Source organism: Homo sapiens, chromosome 11 (genome assembly GCF_000001405.40).
Source record: "Homo sapiens chromosome 11, GRCh38.p14 Primary Assembly".
In the NCBI taxonomy this organism is placed as follows: Eukaryota; Metazoa; Chordata; class Mammalia; order Primates; family Hominidae; genus Homo; species Homo sapiens.
Window position 1 is genome coordinate 2,095,230 of NC_000011.10, and position 19,409 is coordinate 2,114,638.

General features: G+C 56.5%; 5 annotated features.

Moving 5' to 3' along the window:
• Nucleotides 2,031–2,673: an enhancer, noted in NCBI's record as "H3K27ac-H3K4me1 hESC enhancer chr11:2118490-2119132 (GRCh37/hg19 assembly coordinates)". NCBI's record gives its function as "activates a minimal SCP1, AML or CMV promoter by ChIP-STARR-seq in naive and primed H9 embryonic stem cells {active_cell/tissue: H9 hESC(naive and primed)}" and the evidence as "EXISTENCE:reporter gene assay evidence [ECO:0000049][PMID:30033119]".
• Nucleotides 2,096–2,296: a silencer, noted in NCBI's record as "peak1161 fragment used in MPRA reporter construct". NCBI's record gives its function as "represses an SCP1 promoter by STARR-seq MPRAs in K562 erythroleukemia cells {active_cell/tissue: K562}" and the evidence as "EXISTENCE:reporter gene assay evidence [ECO:0000049][PMID:32103011]".
• Nucleotides 4,602–5,244: an enhancer, noted in NCBI's record as "H3K27ac-H3K4me1 hESC enhancer chr11:2121061-2121703 (GRCh37/hg19 assembly coordinates)". NCBI's record gives its function as "activates a minimal SCP1, AML or CMV promoter by ChIP-STARR-seq in naive H9 embryonic stem cells {active_cell/tissue: H9 hESC(naive)}" and the evidence as "EXISTENCE:reporter gene assay evidence [ECO:0000049][PMID:30033119]".
• Nucleotides 5,245–5,886: an enhancer, noted in NCBI's record as "H3K4me1 hESC enhancer chr11:2121704-2122345 (GRCh37/hg19 assembly coordinates)". NCBI's record gives its function as "activates a minimal SCP1, AML or CMV promoter by ChIP-STARR-seq in naive H9 embryonic stem cells {active_cell/tissue: H9 hESC(naive)}" and the evidence as "EXISTENCE:reporter gene assay evidence [ECO:0000049][PMID:30033119]".
• Nucleotides 19,139–19,409: a silencer, noted in NCBI's record as "fragment chr11:2135598-2135868 (GRCh37/hg19 assembly coordinates)". NCBI's record gives its function as "represses an EF-1alpha promoter that drives an FKBP-Casp9 reporter gene in an ReSE screen in phorbol 12-myristate 13-acetate-treated (for megakaryocytic differentiation) K562 erythroleukemia cells {active_cell/tissue: K562(+PMA)}" and the evidence as "EXISTENCE:reporter gene assay evidence [ECO:0000049][PMID:32094911]".

The following is a 19,409-nucleotide window of genomic DNA, read 5'->3' on the forward strand; positions in this document are numbered from 1 at the left end:
AGCCTGGGGGCCAAAGGGCCGCTTGGACCCCACTGTGCCCCGTGTGGACACCACGTCACCCTGTGGGAGGCCAAGGCCCACCTCAACCTCCCTCTCCAGCCTCTGTCCCCAGCAGCCCATGCTTTCTCATCCCACAAGGACCCCTCGCCCAGGCCCGACTGGTCATCCCCAGTGGGATATGGCACAACTTTGGGGGAGCAGCCTTGGGGTTGTAGCGTTGGGGGTGGAGGGGTAGGTCTAAGGCACCTACCCCTTAGGTAGGTAGGAGATGACCATGACTGATGGTCATCCCCATAGAACCACCCCAACACGCTCTTACACCTCCCAGCTCAACAAAGACCTTCCAGAGCCTTCTCTGGCCAGCCCAGGCCAGACACCAAGAATGCAGCGGTCAATAGGACCTGCCCTCACCAAGTGCACACCTATCCGTGGGTCCTCACTGGCCAAGAGCTCCTTCCTCTCCTCACCCCCATTTCTCATCTCACCAGCCCTGCCCCAGCTCCCTGCAGGCCCTCGCCCTGCCCACCCCTCTTGTCCCGACGGGTCTCAGAGTCCTGGCCACCAGAACCCAAAGATGTCAAGACTTCCCTCTAACGAACCTGATGTCTTGGATTCCTTCTAGAGAAGGCCAGGTCTCAGCCAACAGCCCAGCGGCTCCCCAAGGCTTCCATGTTTCTCCTGACAGCAAGCTCATCCCTCCACAGCACAACACTTTTCAAAGGTGCTGGTGGTTAGAAAGTTCCACCTTCCAGACCCCTCCTCACAAAAGCATCTCCCAGGCCCCACAGGTCCGGTTACTGGGGGAAGTGGCAGCACCGATTTTGAAATCCTTTTGAAAATGTTTTTCCTTTGTTTTGTTTTATTTAGAAATTTCCCAAATTTTTACCAAGTTAAAGAGACAACCACAAGAATGTGTAGCCAGGGTGAACAATTGGCATAAACAACCCCTCCCCCACTGCCCAGCCTCCCCCCAAACCACGGCCCCCCAACTCAGCAGCAAAAAATGCCAGACATGTATAAGAAAATAGAAGCCGTGAGGATAGAGCTGGGTGAGGAGCACAGGCCCCATGCCTGGGCTGCAGCGTGCACACAGGGACCACGCACGTGCACCCATGTACACACGCACCTGCACACATGCACATACATGCTTGCACATACGTACGCACGCCAGCATGCACATCACACACAGGGCCTCAGGGTAACCTTTTCCCCAGTCCCGGCTGTGATATTGCGAAAGGAGCTCAGGGTGGGGGGCGGGCTGCTGGGTCCAGGCCCCCACCGTCCTGCCTAGCAGTCATTTGGTTTCTCTTTGCCTCAGTTTCCCTTTCTCTGCCCCTCACACCTCCCAAAGTCCTTTGGAGAATCCGTGAGATGGGGGGGTGACAGGCCCTGTATGTCAGCACACACAGCCACGTGATGTGGGACCCCAGCCCGTGTCCCGCAGAGGCCCTTGCAGCTGGGGACCCAGGGCCTGCTCCAGGGCACAGTGGGTCCCCTTTGGCCATAGCAACCCTGCCCTGGCCTGCCTTAGACCTACCCCTGCAACCCCAAGGCTACAACCCCAAGGCTGCACCCCCAAAGTTGTGCCACCCAAGGCTGTACCAGAGGCTGAACCCCCAAGGCAGCATGCCCCTCAAGTCTGTGCCCCCAGGCTGTCTGCCCCACAGCATCCCCAGCTCCTCCCTAGACCCCTTCCATACCCCTCCGTGAACTGCCCACTCCACAGGAAGCTGCCCTGCTCACGGGCACTGACAGTCTTCACTGCCTGGGGTTCTCCCCTGGAGAGGCAGATTCCTTGGCCCAGAATACGCAGCTTTAAGAAACCAAGTTGGGATCCGAATGCAGGGACTTCCTGCTCCAACTGCTGGCCCGAGGGCCCGCTCTGAGGCTCTGAGGCTCCCAGTCTGGGGCACCCGCACACCACGGCCCTCCCGCCCACGGTGAACGCCCCACCCGGCCCCAAGAGGCATCGGGAGGCGCTGCTTGGCCCAGAGGAGAACAGCACTGATGCGGAGGCCCAGAGAGCTGGGGAGGCCTTGGGGGCGCCAATGGGAGGGTCTAAGAGCCCCCCGATCTCCCCTCGGGAAGATGAGCTCTGGCACTCCACGAAGGACAAGCTGGTCTTGGGGAATTTCGCTGGCACAGAGACAGGAAGGAGAGGATCTTGGCCTTCTAAAATGTTTACTACATCAGGAAACGAACGCACTACGCGCGGGCTCAGTGATGAAGAATAAACACACACACTCACTCAGGACACATTGAGTGCAGGCCCAGCCCCGGGCTTCCCGCTGCGGGGGAGGCTGGGAGGGTTCAGGCATGCCGCAGCCACAGACCATGAGCTTGGGGGTCAGGCGGGCGGGGGCCAAGGGCAGGGCCACGTCCCAGCCCTCCCCACCCAGGTCCGGGCGCCTGCCCGCCCGCCCTGGCTGCTCTGATCTGGCTGTCACGGTTACACAAGGCCAGCCTCCATTTCTTCATTAATGCCTCACCAAGGGGGGCCGCTAACCCGCAGCCTCAGGAATGTGCCTTTACAGAGCAGAGGATGCAGCCGCTGAAGGGCCGGGCAAGCTGCACCGGCCGGGGCTGGAGGTCCTGGCCTGGACTGCTCCCCCGGCCCTCCCCACTCTGGCCCGTGCTGGTCCAGGCCAGGGCAGAAGGAGGTCAACTTGTGCAATGCCTCTCTGGGTGAGCTCTGCACCGGGAGCTGGTGATGGGGACAGAGGAGGCCCTGGAAGAGGGGACGTGAGTTGAGAGAGCAGCACAAACCCAGGACATGCCTCCAGCATCTCTGCCTCCCTTCGTCCACAGAGACTGCTGCGGGGTCAGGCAGCACAGCTTCTTGCCTGAGCTCTGTGGCCTCGGGCAAGGAAGGTCCAGGAGTCAGGTGCTGGTCTGCAACATGGGATCATCTCGCTCTCCAGAAAGGCTGCCAGGGGATCTTAGGGGAGGCCCTCACTCTCGTCTCTCCCCTGTAGTCCTGACACCTGCCGACCTCACACATGGGCCCTCTGGGCGCCTGCCCTCCCCCCTCGTCCTTGCATGCATGCTGTTCCAGCCTTCGGAAATGCTGTTCCCTGGTGACCACTCCTACTCCAGCCCCCTGTGCCAGTGTCTTCCAAAATTTTCCTTCATTTCTGAAACCAAAGGAGTGTCTAGTCCAGAAAGGTCCCCTGGAGAAAGGGAAATGCTGACCAAGAAGGGGCCTCCAAGGGCCAGCACTGGAGGCCCCTTTGCCCTCCCACGCATACCCCAAACCAAGGATGCAAACCAATCACCTGCCTGGGCACAGAACCCCACATGTGCTGCCGGAAGTCGCAGAGCGTCCCCCCGGCTCCAGCAGGGCCCTGGGATACAGGCCCAGATTTGAGAGGCAGGAAGGCCCTTCTGGGCTGGGTGCAGGACAGGGCCTTTCTGATGAAGTCAGGGCACCTGGGGAACCTGAAAGCTGAAAATTCACCTTCACAGAGGTGGACTAACTGCCACGCGGGGGTGGGTGACCCTGTACCTCTTGTGGCAGGCACACACTGGGGGTCCCTGGTGGACGGTGGGCAGGGGCAACCCAGGACCACGGGCATCTTGCCAAGGACTGGGGCAGGAGGCAGGGGCATCAGGCCTCCTGGGAGCAAGGCTTCCAGGTCCAGCACCAAGCTCAGGAGCGTCCTGCCCAGTCCTCATGCCCCTTGGCGCCACCAGCACCCCTCCTGGATCCTGCCCCTCCACGGCCATCATGACAGACGAGCATTCACATTGGGTCGGACCCCCTGCAGGGACCTCCCCATCCTCCCGGTTGGGATGCCTCCTCCTCACCCCACGCGGTTGGCCCCATCCTGTCTGCTTCAGAGTCGCTCCCCTTCTAGAGTGAGCTCCTTGCAGGTAGGAGCCTTATCCCTGAATGCCCCTTGACAAAGAGGGTGCGTCACAGCCTCCTGCCCGGACAGAGCACCTGGAGTGGAGACCGGACCGCAGGGCGTCTGAACATGGCCAGAAATGCGGGTCCAGCTGGGGTGGGGACTTCCTCCTCTCTCCTCGAGGCTGTGGCCAAGCTTATCCTGAACCCAGAACTCCCACCAGTCTCAGCCCACATCCCTTATCACTCCCCCTTCTTTCCTGGTGCCTGCTGCCTGCCCCCACCCAGCTCCTGCAGCCCTGAGTAGGTGATATGCCGGTGCCCCTCCCCTGCTGTCTCCTGTCCTGGCTGGTGCTGGGCACAGCAGGCCAGCTCTGCTCTTTTTGATATCCCCAGGTTCTAAGAAGCGGCTTGGCTGACCCCAGCCCACCCTCCTGAGGGTCAAAGCTGGCCCAGACACGCTACAGTGCCCAGCACCTGCTCCCTGGGACCCTCCCCATGGCCCCCTCCCACCAGGGCTCATTGGGATCCTCAGGAACTGCTGTCCCCACTTGTGGCGTGTCCCCAGGTCTTGGCCCTCAGCAGACAGCTCCTCAGCCTGCCGCTTCCCTTGTGAAGTGTACGTAAGTGAAACATCCCTATGCTGGCCCTGCCAGCTGGCACAGGGCAGACTCTGATGAAGAGCAGCGCCTGGGTGCCAGGGGGCCCTCGTGGCCAGGCTGCTGGGCTGGGTGCACCCACACACTCCTCTGCCTGCTCACCTGCTGGCCACGCCTCTCACTGCAGCCCTGGTGGAGGATGCCAAGCGGGAGCCGCACCCCCGCCTTGCCTGACAACAGTACCCGTCACCCGCTCTCAGCCGCAGCTCCAGCAGCTGCTCCCCTGCCCTCCCCGGCCAGCGGAGGAGACTGGAGTGGGCTACAAGGAAGGCAGGCCCCACACTCTTGGCCCTGCGCCCGAGTGCCCTTGCCAGGCCAAGTCAGACCACAGGACAGGCCACAGTGGTAGCAGGGCCTGGAGGACAGGCTGCCTGAGGCTGGCCTGGGTGGGGGCGGGGCAGAGTGGGGGCTGGGCTGTGTGTGCCAGGGGCCCTGCATCCTGTCCTCCTCTTTGGAGAAGCCCAGGCTCCTCCGGCCTCTCTTGCCTCTAAATCATCTGCTTTTCAGCCTCACTAATTCGTGCAGGGTTCCTTGGCTCATCCACACATTTATTGGGCACCTACTGACTGCACACCCTGCTGGGCTTCAGGTCCTGTGTGCCCCAGTAAGAACAGCTCAGTTCTGGCACAGATCTTAGGGGGCGCAAGGCAGAGCCGCCCCTGGGGCCTGCCCCGCCTAGGCCTGCAGACGTGTTTTCCTCAGCCCCACCGGAGCTCACTGCGAGGGTAGCTTTTCACCGAGCCAAGGTGGCCCCTGTGCCCAGACAGCCCAGATTACAGTGGGCATACGCTGGGGCAGACGCCGGCAGGGCCGCCTTGTTATCTCAGACGCTGACGTCACCTGTCTGCGGGAGGTGCAGGGGGGCCACTTCCCGGGGCCAGGCAGGAAGCCCGCCCAGTGCAGAGAGGGAGGTGCCCAGGCCCATCTCAAGCTTGCTGGGCCCAGGGGACCAGAGCCCCTGGGTTCCCTGATGCAACCAGGCCCCACTCTGCACCCCGGGGCCTCCTAGGCTGGCCTGGCCCTGCCCCTCCGTCTGCCCTTCCCCAGCCCAAAGCCCGCAGGACAAGTGGACAGCCCAGGCCGGTTGCAGTCCTGCATGCTCTGCTGAGCTCCCTGAGTCCAGGTTTTGGGGGGCAGTGGCTTTGGGCCAGGGTTCAGGGGTTTATTTCACAGGTCCTTCCAGGTGCCCCACAGTTGCTGAGTGGGAGACTGGCACTGGGGACTGGTGACAAGAGACCTCCCGGGCAGGCCCCTGGCACGGGCTGAAGGACGGAAGCTGGAGGCAGGGAGAAGCCAAGGGCATTGGGTTTGCAGACTCCATGGGGCAGGACAGGAGGGACTGGATGCCTGGGGAGGTTGGGGCAGGACTGTACCCAAGACAGGGGATCAAGCCTAGTACAGAGCCGAGCAGCGGGAGGGACCACCCTGCCAGGCCAAGGGAGGAAGACCCGGGGCCTCCAGACACAGTGTACCAGAGGAGAACCCTTCCCATCCAGCATGGCCAAGCGGGACCCGTGTGGCACTTGAAGCTGGGTCCCTGGACTCACCACCTTCCCTCACTGGACCCCTCGGCAGCCATGCAGGTGGGGCTCACTCCCCTTTCTACTCGCCACCCTGCAGAGGAAGCTTCTTCTCGGCCAGCTGGCCCACCTGTGCCCCTCCCTCAGGAACCCCACCTGGCCCACCCCACAGCTCCTGTGTGTTCCCAGGGGCATCTGATCCTTCAGCCTGGCCCCTCTTTCCTCTCCAGCCACCTGTGCTGCCATTCCAGTGACAGCCAGGCCAAACTCCCTGCTGGGTCCCCAAATGTCAGGGCGTCTCTCTCACCTCTGTTCCCTCCTCCTGGAATGCCCTTCCTGCTGCCTCATGGCACGCTTCTCTTGGGCCGTTTCACAGGTGTCGCTTGGGGCTTGAGGATTTCAACCTCATGGGTTTTTAGATTAGAGTTAGAAAGAGGGGAGACCTTCACCTGGAGGCAATGATTCAAAGACAGGCAGATTACTTCTCTCCATCGACCCGCACAACCATCTTGGCAGCCCATTTTACAGAGAAGCCTAGACCAAAGGAATGAGGTGTCTTTCAAAGGCCACACAGAGCCAGGAGAGACTCTTCCCCACACTGACGTCCACTGGGACCCCAGCCTTAGTGCTCCCTGTGTGTGTCTGTCACTGTCATTGTGGAAAATAAAAGGTCCTGAAAGGACAGTCTCAGGTCCTGGTCCTGGTCTTAGATGTGACTTATGATGACTTCAAATCCATAAGACACAGATGCAGTGGGTAAATTGAGGCAGCCTCTTGTTTCTTAGCCAAAGAACTTGTTCAAGAAGTTTTCTTAGCAATGGGCTTCCAATTATCAAACCTGGATGATATAGAATTGTGGTGGAAAGGGTGGTAGATAGGTGGGTGGATAGATGGGTGGGTGAATTGATGGATGGATGGGTGAGCGGATGGATGGATGGATGGATGGATGGATAAATGGATGGATGGATGGATGATCGATGGATGGGTAGGTGGGTGAATGGATGGAGGTTGGAATGGATGGATGGATGGATGAGTGAATATGTAGGTGAGTGGAAGGATGTGTGGGATGGATGGGTGGATGAGTGGATGGGAAGGTGGTGTGTGAATGGATGAATGGATGGTTGAGATGGATGGATGATTAGGATGGATGGATGGATGGACGGATGAAAGGATGAGTGGGTAGAGGAAAGGATGAATGGATGGGTGAGTGGGGGATGTGGAGACATGAGGATGAATGTAGACGTATGAATAAGTAGGTGGATGAATGAAGAGCAGGTGGGTAGATGGAAGGGTGGATGAACAGTTGGATGGAGGAATGAATGGATCCTCAAATAGCACTTTCTTTGGCTAAGGTGTTGTAACCTTGAATCATGGAGAATGATTGCCAGGCACCCTCCACTCTGTGAGTCTCTGGTTCTCTGCCATGACCCCCAGGGCCATAGAGCAGTGTGGCTTCTCAATCCCCAAATAAGGTGGACAAAGTCCGCACTGGCAGGCCCAGGGAGCAGGAAGTCCGGGTGGGGTGGGAGGCCCTGCTCCCGGAGCTGAAGTCAGTTCCTTCTTTTCTAAACAATGAGGCCTGGCCTGATCTTTGCCGCACCTCCACCCTGCTCCACCCAAGCTCCCTCCACATCTGATGGGGCTCTGGGGCCCTCAGAGCTGGATGCAGGGAGCTGGGGGCTGGAGCAGGAGGGCCAAAAAGAGCAGGACCCACATAGTTTGCAAAAGGCTCAGTCGTGGAAATGCTGCCTTCCCTGCAGCCAAGGCTCCTGGAGCCAGTTTCCCCCAAGCTTCTTTCTGTAGGGAGATAGGAGCTGGGGGTTTGTTGGCCAAGACATGACTTTGGTTTCTTGTTTTCGTCTTTCTTCTTCAAGTCCATAGTTGGAAGGCCCTGCATCCCCTTCTCTCTCCTGTGTCCTCTTCCTTATGGTCATCCTGCTCTGTCCCCCCACTTCCCTTTCCTTGCCCCTCTCTCTGACCCACCATGGCCAGTCTGGCAGAGGAGGAGACTGGAAGAGTAGAGTAGGAAGGAAAACCAAGTCTGCCCTTGCCAGGGCACGGAGGACCAGACTTTCCAACCCAACCGTGGCTCCCAGTTTCAGTGACCAAGCTGGGGCTCTTAGGCCTAAGCAGGGGCTCTCCTCTGCTCCAGCTCTGTCTCCTGCATTGGCAGGAGAGAGCCTCTCCCACAGAGCTGTCCCTGGAACAGAAGGACAAGCTGAAAACCAGAGAATCTCCCCCTCTCGTGCTAAGGGTAGCCAGAGTGTTCCACGGCCCTGGAGACACCATCCACCACCCTCCCAGTGGGCTTCCTGGAAACCCAGAGATGGCTCCAGGGGCTCTGCCCTCCTGGGAAGCCACTTAGAGCCCAAAGAGCGCTTTCCACATGGAAATAAGGGGTCTCTTCTGAGGGTAGGGGTGCTGCAGTACAGAGCAGGGGCAGGGCCGGGAACTGGGGACACAGGCCTGTGTGGACTCAAAATGAACGAGGGCCGTCCTGTGCGTGCTCCACTCCAAATCCCATCTGCTCCCACACTGCTGGCCCAGGGAAAATCTGGGTAGTGACAGTGGCCGTCCCTCACGCCCTCCATGGCCAGGTGCCAGTAGCGTGTTCCACAAGCATCACCTTCGAAACCCTGAAGGAGTCAGGACTGTCGCTGTTCCAGACAAGGAGACTGAGGATGAGTCTCCATTAAGTGGCTTTCCCGCAGACACACAGTAAGTGGCACAAGAGTCAGGAGTTTGAGCCCGGGTCAGCCCAGCTCCAGCCATGGTCGCAGGGGCTGCCTGCAACCCCTGACGAGGGGCACCCCGGGGAGGCCTGGACCCAGCACCTGCAGCCCAACCTGGGCAGAGGCTGATCCAGCAGCTAGGAAGGGCATGGGTCCAGGAGATGGCAGAGCAGGGAACAGAGCGCTGCCGCTCAGGGTACTCCCGGGGAGCTGTGGTTCTCAGTGGAGGCCGCTCCCACACTGACACTCAGGCACCCTTTCACCTGCTGATGCCCAGACACTGCTGAGGCCAACACAACAGACCCACAGCCTGGGTCAGCACGGACAAGGGTGCTTCCTGGCTCCTCCTGACCATTGCTGAATGAATGATGGGTGAATGAATGAATTAACAAATGATGGCTGACTGATGAAAAGCAAGAACACAGATGGAACCAGAGCTTCTGGGGCGCGGAGGCAGGGGCACAACCCCCTCCCGTGCCGGAGTGCGCACACACACACACAGGGGTACACACATGCACGCACAGACACACATGCATACACACACATGCCCACACATGCAAACACACATTCATATACACACACGCCCACACACACAAACACACATTCATATACACACATGCCCACACATGCAAACACACATTCATATACACACGCACGCCCACACATGCAAACACACATTCATATACACACACGCGCAGCAGGCCTCCTTGGTCAAGGCCTCCAGAGCTTTGTCCTTCCTCACGGTTCCAGTGGCCCAGAAGACTCACCATGTTGCCTTGCCCCAGCCCAGGGCCCCAAGTGAGTGTATCAGGATCCCTGAGCCCGCCCCGAAATCCCCAGGTTTCCACCGCTCCCAGCAGGAAGCCGTGCTTCATGCATGAGGCCTCCCTCACCTGTTAATTTCCGCTGATCCTGCCAACCCCCAGGTGAGGGCAGCCATGGGGACCCCAGTGGCCCAGAGCTGGGCCCAGGAAAGGGACCAAAGGCCCAGGGGGCCTTGCTCCTGGAGCCAACTCCACTCAATGCCAGGGCACAGAGGGAAACCAGGCACTGTGGCCAGGCCCCTGGGAAGGGTCATGGGTGCATGCTCAGCAACCCTCGGCCATCATGTGGCTGCAGGCCCAGCCTGTTGCTAGGATTAGTCCCGGATTAGCCCACTGAGGTCCCAGAGGCTCGAGTGTCCTGGTCACCAGTGCTATAGAAACCTGGCCAGAGGCAGGGGGTGGAGACTGGTTCCTCCTTGGTGGGCTCTTCCCTCCAGGCCCAGTCTGAGCCTTACCCTTTCCTGAGCCAGCTCTGGAGTGCCTGGGGCCTGAGCTCCCACCCCCAGCCCTGCGGGAGCCCTTCTCCACAGAGCTCTGCACCTAGGGAAGTTGTAGCTTTCCAGAATCAGCTGTTTTCCAGATCCCGGAATGAAAACGGATGACCGATCATGTTGTGCCTGATGTGGAAAAGCGAAGCGTTTGTTCTCTCCCTTCTCAGATGCTCCTTAATACAGAAAACGTCAGAGCTGGTTCACCCTGCTGCCCCAGGAGCACCCTGGAGCTTCCCTCCCCAGGCCCAGCCCAAGCACCGCCTCCTGAGAACTCTCCTCCCCTCACTGACCCCTGTCCCATCTGTCTCTGCCCTGAAGGAACACCAAGTTGGGGCTGTGGGGCTGGGACCAGGCCTCGGAGCCAGGTAGCAGCCCATTGGGGGACAGCTCAAGAGGCTCCGAGAGCTCCCTGTGACATCTGAGAGGCCAGCAGGACGAAGGCCACAGCCAGCAGCCAGGACCTGACCACTTGCCCAGGCTGGTCTGAGCTCCTGGCCAGGGGCCTCTTGGCAACATGACCTGGCAGGTGCTGTCTGTCCATTATTCCCCTCTCACGGATGTCCCCGGCCTCTGTGGACATGACCGCCTAGCCCTGAAACTCCAAATGTACCTTTCTGCCTCTCCTCTTCTCTGTCAGGTGATGCCATCCTTCCCAGGGGCCTTCTGGGCTCTTCACTCCTCTAGGCCCTCAGCAAAGGCTCTCACTCTGCCCTCAGCACACACCAGGGTGCAACCACCCTCACTCCTCCACCAGTCCCTCCCAGTCACTCCCTTCTGTGTGTATCCCAGCAGGTGCCTCCACTTCTCCTCTTGCACTCTGGTCACTCAGCAGCCACAGGATCCCTTCACTCCTAAGCAGAGACCTCCACTAGCCCCACTTCTCTCCAAGAAAAAGCTGCATCCCCTTCAGGGCTTCCTGATGCCTTCCTGGGCAAGCTCCCCTTGGTTTCTCAGGTGTGTTTCTCAACAACCCATGCTTCCTCCCTATCCACCACTCCTCAGAGACGCCACATCACCTCTCTACAAGCCTTGTACCCGCTGCTCCTGCCATGAGATGCTCTCCCCCAGATGTCCATGTGAGTATGTGGTGGGGGCTAGAAAGGTATGTAGATGGGTAAATGGTTGGCTGGGTAGATGGCTGGATGCGTGGGTGGATGCATGGATCCATGGAAGGAAGGAAGGAAGGAAGGAAGAGAGGGAGGGAGGGCAAGAGGAAAGAAGGAAGGAAGGAAGGAAAGAAGGAAGGAAGAGAAGAAGGGAGGGAGGGAGGATGAATGGGTGCACAGATGGGTGCATGGATGGGTGCATGGATGGGTGCATGGATGGGTGGATGAACAGATGGATGGATGAACAGATGGATGGATGGATAAGTGGATGCATGGATTCATGGAAGTAAGGAAGGAAGGAAGGAAGGAAGGAAGGAAGGAAAGGAAGATGGATGGATGCATGGATGGGTGCATGGATGGATGGATGGATGCATGCATGGATGGAAGGAAGGATGGATGGGTGGATGGATACATGAACAAATGAGTGGGTGGATGGATGGATGGATGAATGGGTGGGTGGATGCATGGATGGGTGGATGCATGGATGGATGGAAGATAGATATATGGATAAATAAGTGGGTGTATGAATAGGTGGGTGAATGGACGGATGAATAGATGCATAGATGGGTGGATGCATGGATGGATGGATGGATAGATAGATAGATACATGGGTGAATGAGTGGATGTATGAATGAGTGGGTGAATGGATGGATGAATAGATGCATAGAGGGGTGGATACATGGATGGGTGGATAGATAGATAAATACATGGATGAATGAGTGGGTGTATGAATGGGTGGATGCATGCATGGATGGATGGATAGATGGATGGATAAATGGATACATGTAGGAGTGAGTGAATAGATGCTTGGATGGATGGATGGAAGAAAGGATGGATGGATAGATGAATACATGGATAATGACTGGGTGTATAAATGGATGGGTGGATGGTGGGTGGATGAATGAATGGATAGATGCCTGGATAAATGGATGGATAGATGCATGGATGGATGAATGGATGGGTGGATGCCCTTTCTCTGAATGCCAGCCAGGAACGTAGCCAAGTGGAAAGGCCCAGGTGGGCAGCTGTCTTCCCAGACCACTCACACTGACCTGAGAACAACTGCTGGGCCCCAGGTGTTGAAAGGGCAAAAAGAGATGTACCCAGCTGGACTGTGCAGGTGCTGGCTGCCCGTTGTTTTGAGCCATGCTCTGATTTGTTCCTCTGTGCCTGCTCTGGGGACTTGGCCACTCTGAGCCATCTGCAGGCTTCCCTGGTGTCCCCTGTACCCATACCACAAGCCAAGTTCCTCCAATGTCACCCTTGATTGCTGTCCCTTGTGTGACTCACACTGGTCCTCCCTGTGTGATCATAGGCTATTCGCCTCTGCCACACACCACACTCATCACCCAGGCTAATCTGGGTGGGAGGCAGACTTGTCCAGCGCTCACAGCTGCTGAGCCTCAGAGCCAGGCCAGACCCAAGGCCAGGACTCCTGAGCTCCCCTCCAACTCTCCGTCCTTACAAGCCTTCCTTGCACCAGCCTTGTCCCCTCTGGTCTAGTTGCATCTATTTCACCCCTGCCAGAAGACGGTGTTCGTTGCCTATGGCTGCAGAATAAATTAGTCCAAAACTTAAAACAATAAAGACTTAAAGTGATGGATATTTATCATCTCAGTTTCTGTGGGTCAGGAGTACAGGAGCAGCTTAGCCTGGTGGTTGTGGCTTGGCTTGGCTGCCACCCCCTGACACCCCAAGCCAAGCCACCAGCCCTGGGCCCCAGCCATCTGAAGGTCCTGCTGGACTGAAGTGTCCCCTTCATGCCTGGCAACCTAGTGTGGCTGTCGGAGGGATGCTCAGTCCTTCCACACAAACCTCTGAGGTTTGCGCATCCTCACAACATGGCAGCCAGCTTTCCCCAGAGGGAGTGAAGGGAGAGAGGTGGGGGAAGAAGAAGGATGCTGCAGTGTCAATTATGACCTGGCCTCAGAAGTCACCCGCCGTCATTCCCACTGTTGGTTACACAAATCCATCCTGTTAATGTGAGGGGGGCCGCACAGTGGCCGAATTCCTGGAAGTGCAGATCTAGGCCCATGGCTACCATGACCTGCAGCTGACATGCTCTTCTTTCTTCCACAAATGACATGAAGTGAGAGAAGCAGTGGGCAAGGTAGCCCCAGACTGACCATCTTCTTGTGGTTCCATTGCCGACACCTGGTGACCTGGCCCAGCCAACACCTCCAGCCCCCTCCTCCTTCCCCACAATAGGCTCAGCTCAGGCCACCCTGAGCGCCAGGGGCAAGGTGTGCCTGGAGCTCTTCAGTGAGACAGTGACTGTTTCTGGGGTAGCCCTGGACCCTGAACCCCTCCAGTGCTGAGATAGACGAGGGGTCCCTCCTTACTGTCCCCTTCCCTGGCCCCATGACTCTGCAGATTCCCCAGCCACAGGGCAGGAAGGGTAGAGCCAGCGTTTTGGGTGGGATAGGGAAGGGCCCGGCTGGGAGGCAGAACAGCTGGTGGAGGGTGGGGGAGGCATCCTGAGGCCCTGGGGGACACCAGGGCACCGACTGTACGTTGTTCTCCATCCCCAGCCTGGGCCAAGAGGGCAACCCAGGGAGCCCAGGACCTTGTCCAGCAGCTGAGGCCTCTGAGGGGAGAGTGCCAGAAAGAGTGGGGGTGCCAGGGCTCTGTCCCCCATCTTTCCTGGCTTGGGTTTCTGGGAGAGGGGGCGGGTGTTGACTCCCGGAGGGGCTGCCCTGGAAGTCAGGTGGCCTGGCGGTTCCCAGACCTGCCAGCCCTTGCTGAGGGAGCCTGCAGGCTCTTCTCCTTCCCAGGCCTCCCCGGCATCTGAGAACCTTCTCCCCAGCACTGACCCATGGCTGGGAGAGGGTCAGGGCCCTCAGGGAGCCCGGCTGAGCCAGCACGGGACGCAGGGGTCGGCTCCTTCAGACCCCCCCACTTTCGGGCAGCGGTGCCCACGCCCAGCTGGGCAGGGCCGAGTCCATGAGACCCACTGCCCTCCCCGGGAGCTCCCGGCCAGCCGCCCACTGCAGCAGCCCGTGTAAAAGTAACGCCTGTTATGCCAGGAACGTCACAGGGCCCTGGGGCTGCAGACAAGCTGGGTCTTTTTTTTTTTTTATTATTAAAAAGCAAAACCTAAACCAAGAAAACAAAGTGATTAAGTTTCTCCTCAGAACAGCAGGCCCCACAGAAACGAGGAGCGACCGTCCCACTGGGTGCTTGGACCCTCACCCACCACTCGGGAAAACAGCCGAATTCTTCACACAAACAGGAAGCAGCTGGTCTTCCCTGAACATGAGGGGAGGGCTGGGGCCTCAGCATGCGGGCTGCCTAGAAGGTGGCGCTGCAGCCAGGCCCTCGGCTGGGCTGGGCAGTCCCAGCCCTCCAGGAAACGGCCAGGCTGCAACTCCCCCGCCAGGAACCCCTGGGCTTCGCGCTTGACCAGTGGAGCCGTGCAGGTCAGAGGAGGGTGGGCTCCCAGCACACACCCTTCTCTGCCACGGTGGGCTCAGCTGCTCCACCCAGGCTGCCAAGACCCAGCCCAGAGCACACAAACTAGCTGGGCTTCTCATGGGGTACAATGGGAGTGGGCAGGAGCTGGCAGCCATGCTGGGCAGGTCAAGGGCCTTCAAAGGGCTGCCACAGCCCAGCTGGGGCGCTGAGGCCTGCAGAAGCTCACTCTGGTGGCATTGAGTTGGGGAAGGGGTCTCTGTGAGCCAGGTTCAGAAAGGAAGATGTGAGGCAAGTTTTAAAGAAATGTTTTAAAATAGAAGGGGCTTAAAGCAGAAAAGTTTAGCCTGCCAGAAGTTAGAACATGTTCTAGAGTAACAATAATTAAAACCTCACGGTACTGATGCAAAGATGGAGATATAGGCTGGGGAGGAGAAGTGGAAGTCTGGAAGTGGAACCAGCAACCTACACAAAGAACATTAAAACTCCAGAAAAAAAGAACGCTACAATTTAAAACCACAGCGTAGGATCTCAGAAGCCCTTCCAGCAGAGGAGCACAGAGGAGCTGCCTCAGGCATTGTCTTGAGATAATGTGTTAGTAATTTGTAATAAAATTCAATCAAAGAGAACACTTACATCCACATAAAAACCTGCTCACAAGTATTTATAGCAGTTTTATTCATAATCACCAAAAACTTGGAAGCAACTGAGATCTTTCAGTGCGTGAGTGGGTAAACACACAGCGGTACCTCTATGCCGAGGAATGTTATTCGGTGCTAAAAAGAAGTTAGCTGTGAGCCGCAAGAAGACATGGAGGAGCACCAAATGCATGATACTAAGTGAGAGAAGCCACTCTGCAAAGGCTACGCCCGTAGGATTCCACCTCTATGACGTCCTCGAAAAGGCAAAGCTATGGAGACAGTGAAAAGACCGGTGGCTGCCAGCGTTTGCAGGAAGAGAGGGAGGAAGAGGTGCAGAACCATGACTGTGGGGGCAGTGAAACTACTCTGTCTGATAGTCTGATGGTGGATATAGGGCATGATAACTTGCGTCCAAACTCATAGAATGCACAACCCCTAGAGTGAGCCTGGACCTCAGTGTGTGCTGGTGCTGGCTGGTCAATTCTAAGAGAAGGCCCACATATTGCAACATGTGAATAACAGGGGAAACTGTGGTGGACGCATGAGGCAGGAGGTCCATGGGAACTCACTGTGCTTTCCATGTGATTTTTCTGTAGTCCTAACCCAGTTTTACTCTTGTCCAAGGACCGTCTGTCCATCACTTTTTAATGCCACTCTCAGCAGCTCCCTTTGTGGAGAACAAACCCGAGCCAGGCTGTTTACACGCGCATCCGGTGGGAGCCCCGTGCTCAGGTGCTCGCTTTTGCACAGGGGGACACTGAGGAACAGAAAAGCGAGGCAACACTCCAGGATTTGAAACAGTCAAAACACTTGCCCCTCTGCTAATTATAAGCACAGCTACTGGCCCCTAAGCCTGGGCTCTTCGACCTCGGTTCTCAAATGTTCCGGCCTCAGGGCCTCTTGCATTCCCCAAAGTTATGAACAAGTCCTTAAAGAGAGTGGGTTGATACGGGGTCACCCCTGCTGATATTTACTGTCTTAGAAGTTACAACTAAGACATTGAAATATTTCAATATTTAAAATATTAGAAATTTTAAAAATAGGTTAAATGAATTAATTTAAAAGTCACAACAGAGGCTGGGCATGGTGGCTCATGCCTGTAATTCCAGCACTTTGGGAGGCCAAGGCGGGAGGATCACTTGAGCCCAGGAGTTCAAGACCAGCCTGGGCTATGTTGCTATGTTACCCAGGCTGGTCTTGAACTCATGGGCTCAAGTGATCCTCCCACCTTGGCCTCCCAAAGTGCTGGAATTACAAGGAGGAGTAATCAAAAAGAAAATCTACAAGCACATAAGGCCATTAAAATATCCTTAATTAAAAAAAAAAGCCAGGTATAGTGGCACACACCAGCTACTCGGGAGGCTGAGGCAGAAGGATCACTTGGGCCTGGAAGGTCGAGGCTGCAGTGAGCCTGGATTGTGCCACTGCACTCCGGCCTGGGCCACAGAGCAAGACCCTGACTCAAAACCATATGAAACAAATGAACACAAAACAGTAAAATCACAACAGCAATAATAAACTCACTACTACACATTAACATAAAATATTTGTTTACAAAAGACAACTAGGCTTTTCAAAACAAAGCAAGTTCCGTGAGAAGAGTGAGATGTCTTTGCACTTTGCGAATCTCTGTGGCTTGCTGGAAGGCAGCGGATTCCCATCACGCCTCTGCAGGCTTTGGCCAGCGCATGGGAAGAATGTAGATGAGGACATCTACGAACATACGTGGTTGGGAGTGGGGGGTGGGGGGCGCTGGTACTTTAATGGCCTTATGCGCTTGTAGATTTTCTTTTTGCTACTACACCAAAACTTGACAAGTGTCATTTCTTCAAGCTTAGCTGCAATGCAGAATCTGAAACCCATGACCTTTAGAGACTCCGTGATGTTACAGTCCCTCAGTTTAGGAAACGACAGAGGCATCATAACCAAATGCACCGGGGCTGGGCGTGGTAGTGCACGCCTGGAATCCCAGCACTTTGGGAGGCCGAGGCAGGCAGATCACCTGAGGTCAGGAGTTCGAGACCAGCCTGGCCAACATAGTGAAACCCTGTCTCTACTAAAAATATGAAAATTAGCTGGACATGGAGGCAGGCACCTGTAATCCCAGTTACTAAGGAGGCTGAGGCAGGAGAATCACTTGAACCTGGGAGGTGGAGGTTGCAGTCAGCCAAGATTGCACCACTATACTCCAGCCTGGGCGACAAGAGTGAAACTCCATCTCAATGTGGCCAGGCACGGTGGCTCACGCCTGTAATCTCAGCACTTTGGGAGGCCAAGGTGGGTGGATCACGAGGTCAGGAGATTGAGACCATCCTGGCTAACATGGTGAAATCCCGTCTCTACTAAAAATACAGAAAATTAGCCGGGCGTGGTGGTGGGCGCCTGTAGTCCCAGCTACTCGGGAGGCTGAGGCAGGAGAATGGCATGAACCCAGGAGGCGGAGCTTGCAGTGAGCCGGGATCGTGCCACTGTACTCCAGCCTGGGTGACAGAGTGAGACTCCGCCTCAAAAAAAAAAAAAGAAAAAAAGAAACTCCGTCTCAAAACAAAACAAAAAAAAAAACAAAATAAACAAATGCACCGTGGACCCTCAATGGGATCCTGGAACAGAAAGAGGATGTGAACAGAAACATTGGTGAACTCCAGATGAAGCCTGGGTTACATTAATAAGTCGAGAAGCAATGTCACACTCTTAATTGTCACAACCATACCACAGTCAGGTGTGACCTTAACAAAGGGGGATTGGGCGAGGGGGGCTGTGTGTACAATCCTTGCAACTCGTCTGTCATCTTGAAATTGTTCCAAAATAAAAGGTGTATTATGGAACGAGTCAACTGGTGTATCTTGCACTTTCCAAGGATCTTTTCCTCTTTTTTGTTTTTATTTTTATTTTTGAGACAGGGTCTTGCTCTGTCATCCAGGCTGGATTACAGTTGCATGATCATGGCTCACTGCAGCCTCAGCCTCCCCAGGCTCAGGGGATCCTCCCACATCAGCCTCCCCAGTAGCTGGGACCATAGGCATGCACCACCACACCCAGCTAATTTTAACATTTTTTGTAGAGACAGGGTTTCACCATGTTGCTCAGGCTGGTCTTGAACTCCTGGGCTCAAGCGATCCGCCCGCCTCGGCCTCAAGGATCTTTTCCTGTGTGTGCCTCTGTAACGTTCCGCATTGATCGTTTGGAAAATATCAATCTCACAATCAGGCAGCTCTTCCAGGAGTGGATGCCATTCTTTATTGTTATGGAAAACTACATTTGTGACTGTCCCCACCAGGCTCCTCAGGAAGGTCTTTAAGGATTGGAAAACCGTCTGGTTCAAGGGGGCAGTTGTAAGTTTCTCAAAATTCTGCTGTTTGCATGAAAGCTCCAAGGTGGTCACCAACAGCAAAATCCAGGAGTTGTTTTTCTCTAAGTGGATCTTTTTGTTCTTCTCTGAGGAAACATCCAGCCGGTCGCCGGTTCAGTAAAAGCGGTGCACGCAGCCCATTGAGCCTGCAACTCAAACCACTGTGCAGGAGCTTTTCCTGGGGACGCTGGCATGCTTCCGGCTACAGTGGGAGTGCTTTGAGCGTGCCTCCGCGAATATTAAAAAGACACACTCCAGGGTCAAGATTTAATAGAATTAATAAAGTTTAATGCTTCATCAAGGACATTCTTAAGTGAGACTGGCAGCTGGCCCACGTCCCATGGGCTGGGAGACCTGGGCTCAGTCCCACCTCCTGCCCCAAACTCAGCCACACCACCCTGTCAGGAGGCTTTGGTGGGATGGTTCCCAGCCCCGTTCATAGACCTGCCCTCTCCCCTGCCCCCTCCACCCTCCACCACCTCACCCTCCCCATTAGATTCTCCTGGAGCTTCTCCTCAAGGTTCCAGGGAGCCCTCACCGACCAGCCCAGACTAGAGAAATTCACTTCCTGGGGCTCCCTCTGCCCATTCCTTACTATCCCGTATGTTCCTTGGCTTCCCCCACCAGGCTGCGAACTTGGCAGAGGCAGATCCCCCGACCCAGCACGGTCTCCTATCTGGCAGTGGTTTATCTCCTACTCGCCCAGGCCAGGACGGCCTCCTGCAGTCCATCCCACGAGCTTGCAGCCATCCCGTAGGGCCCTCTGTCTCAGGCCTGGCAGCAGTGGGATTCCTCTGGATCTGGGAATTCTCTTGACCCCCTGGTGAAC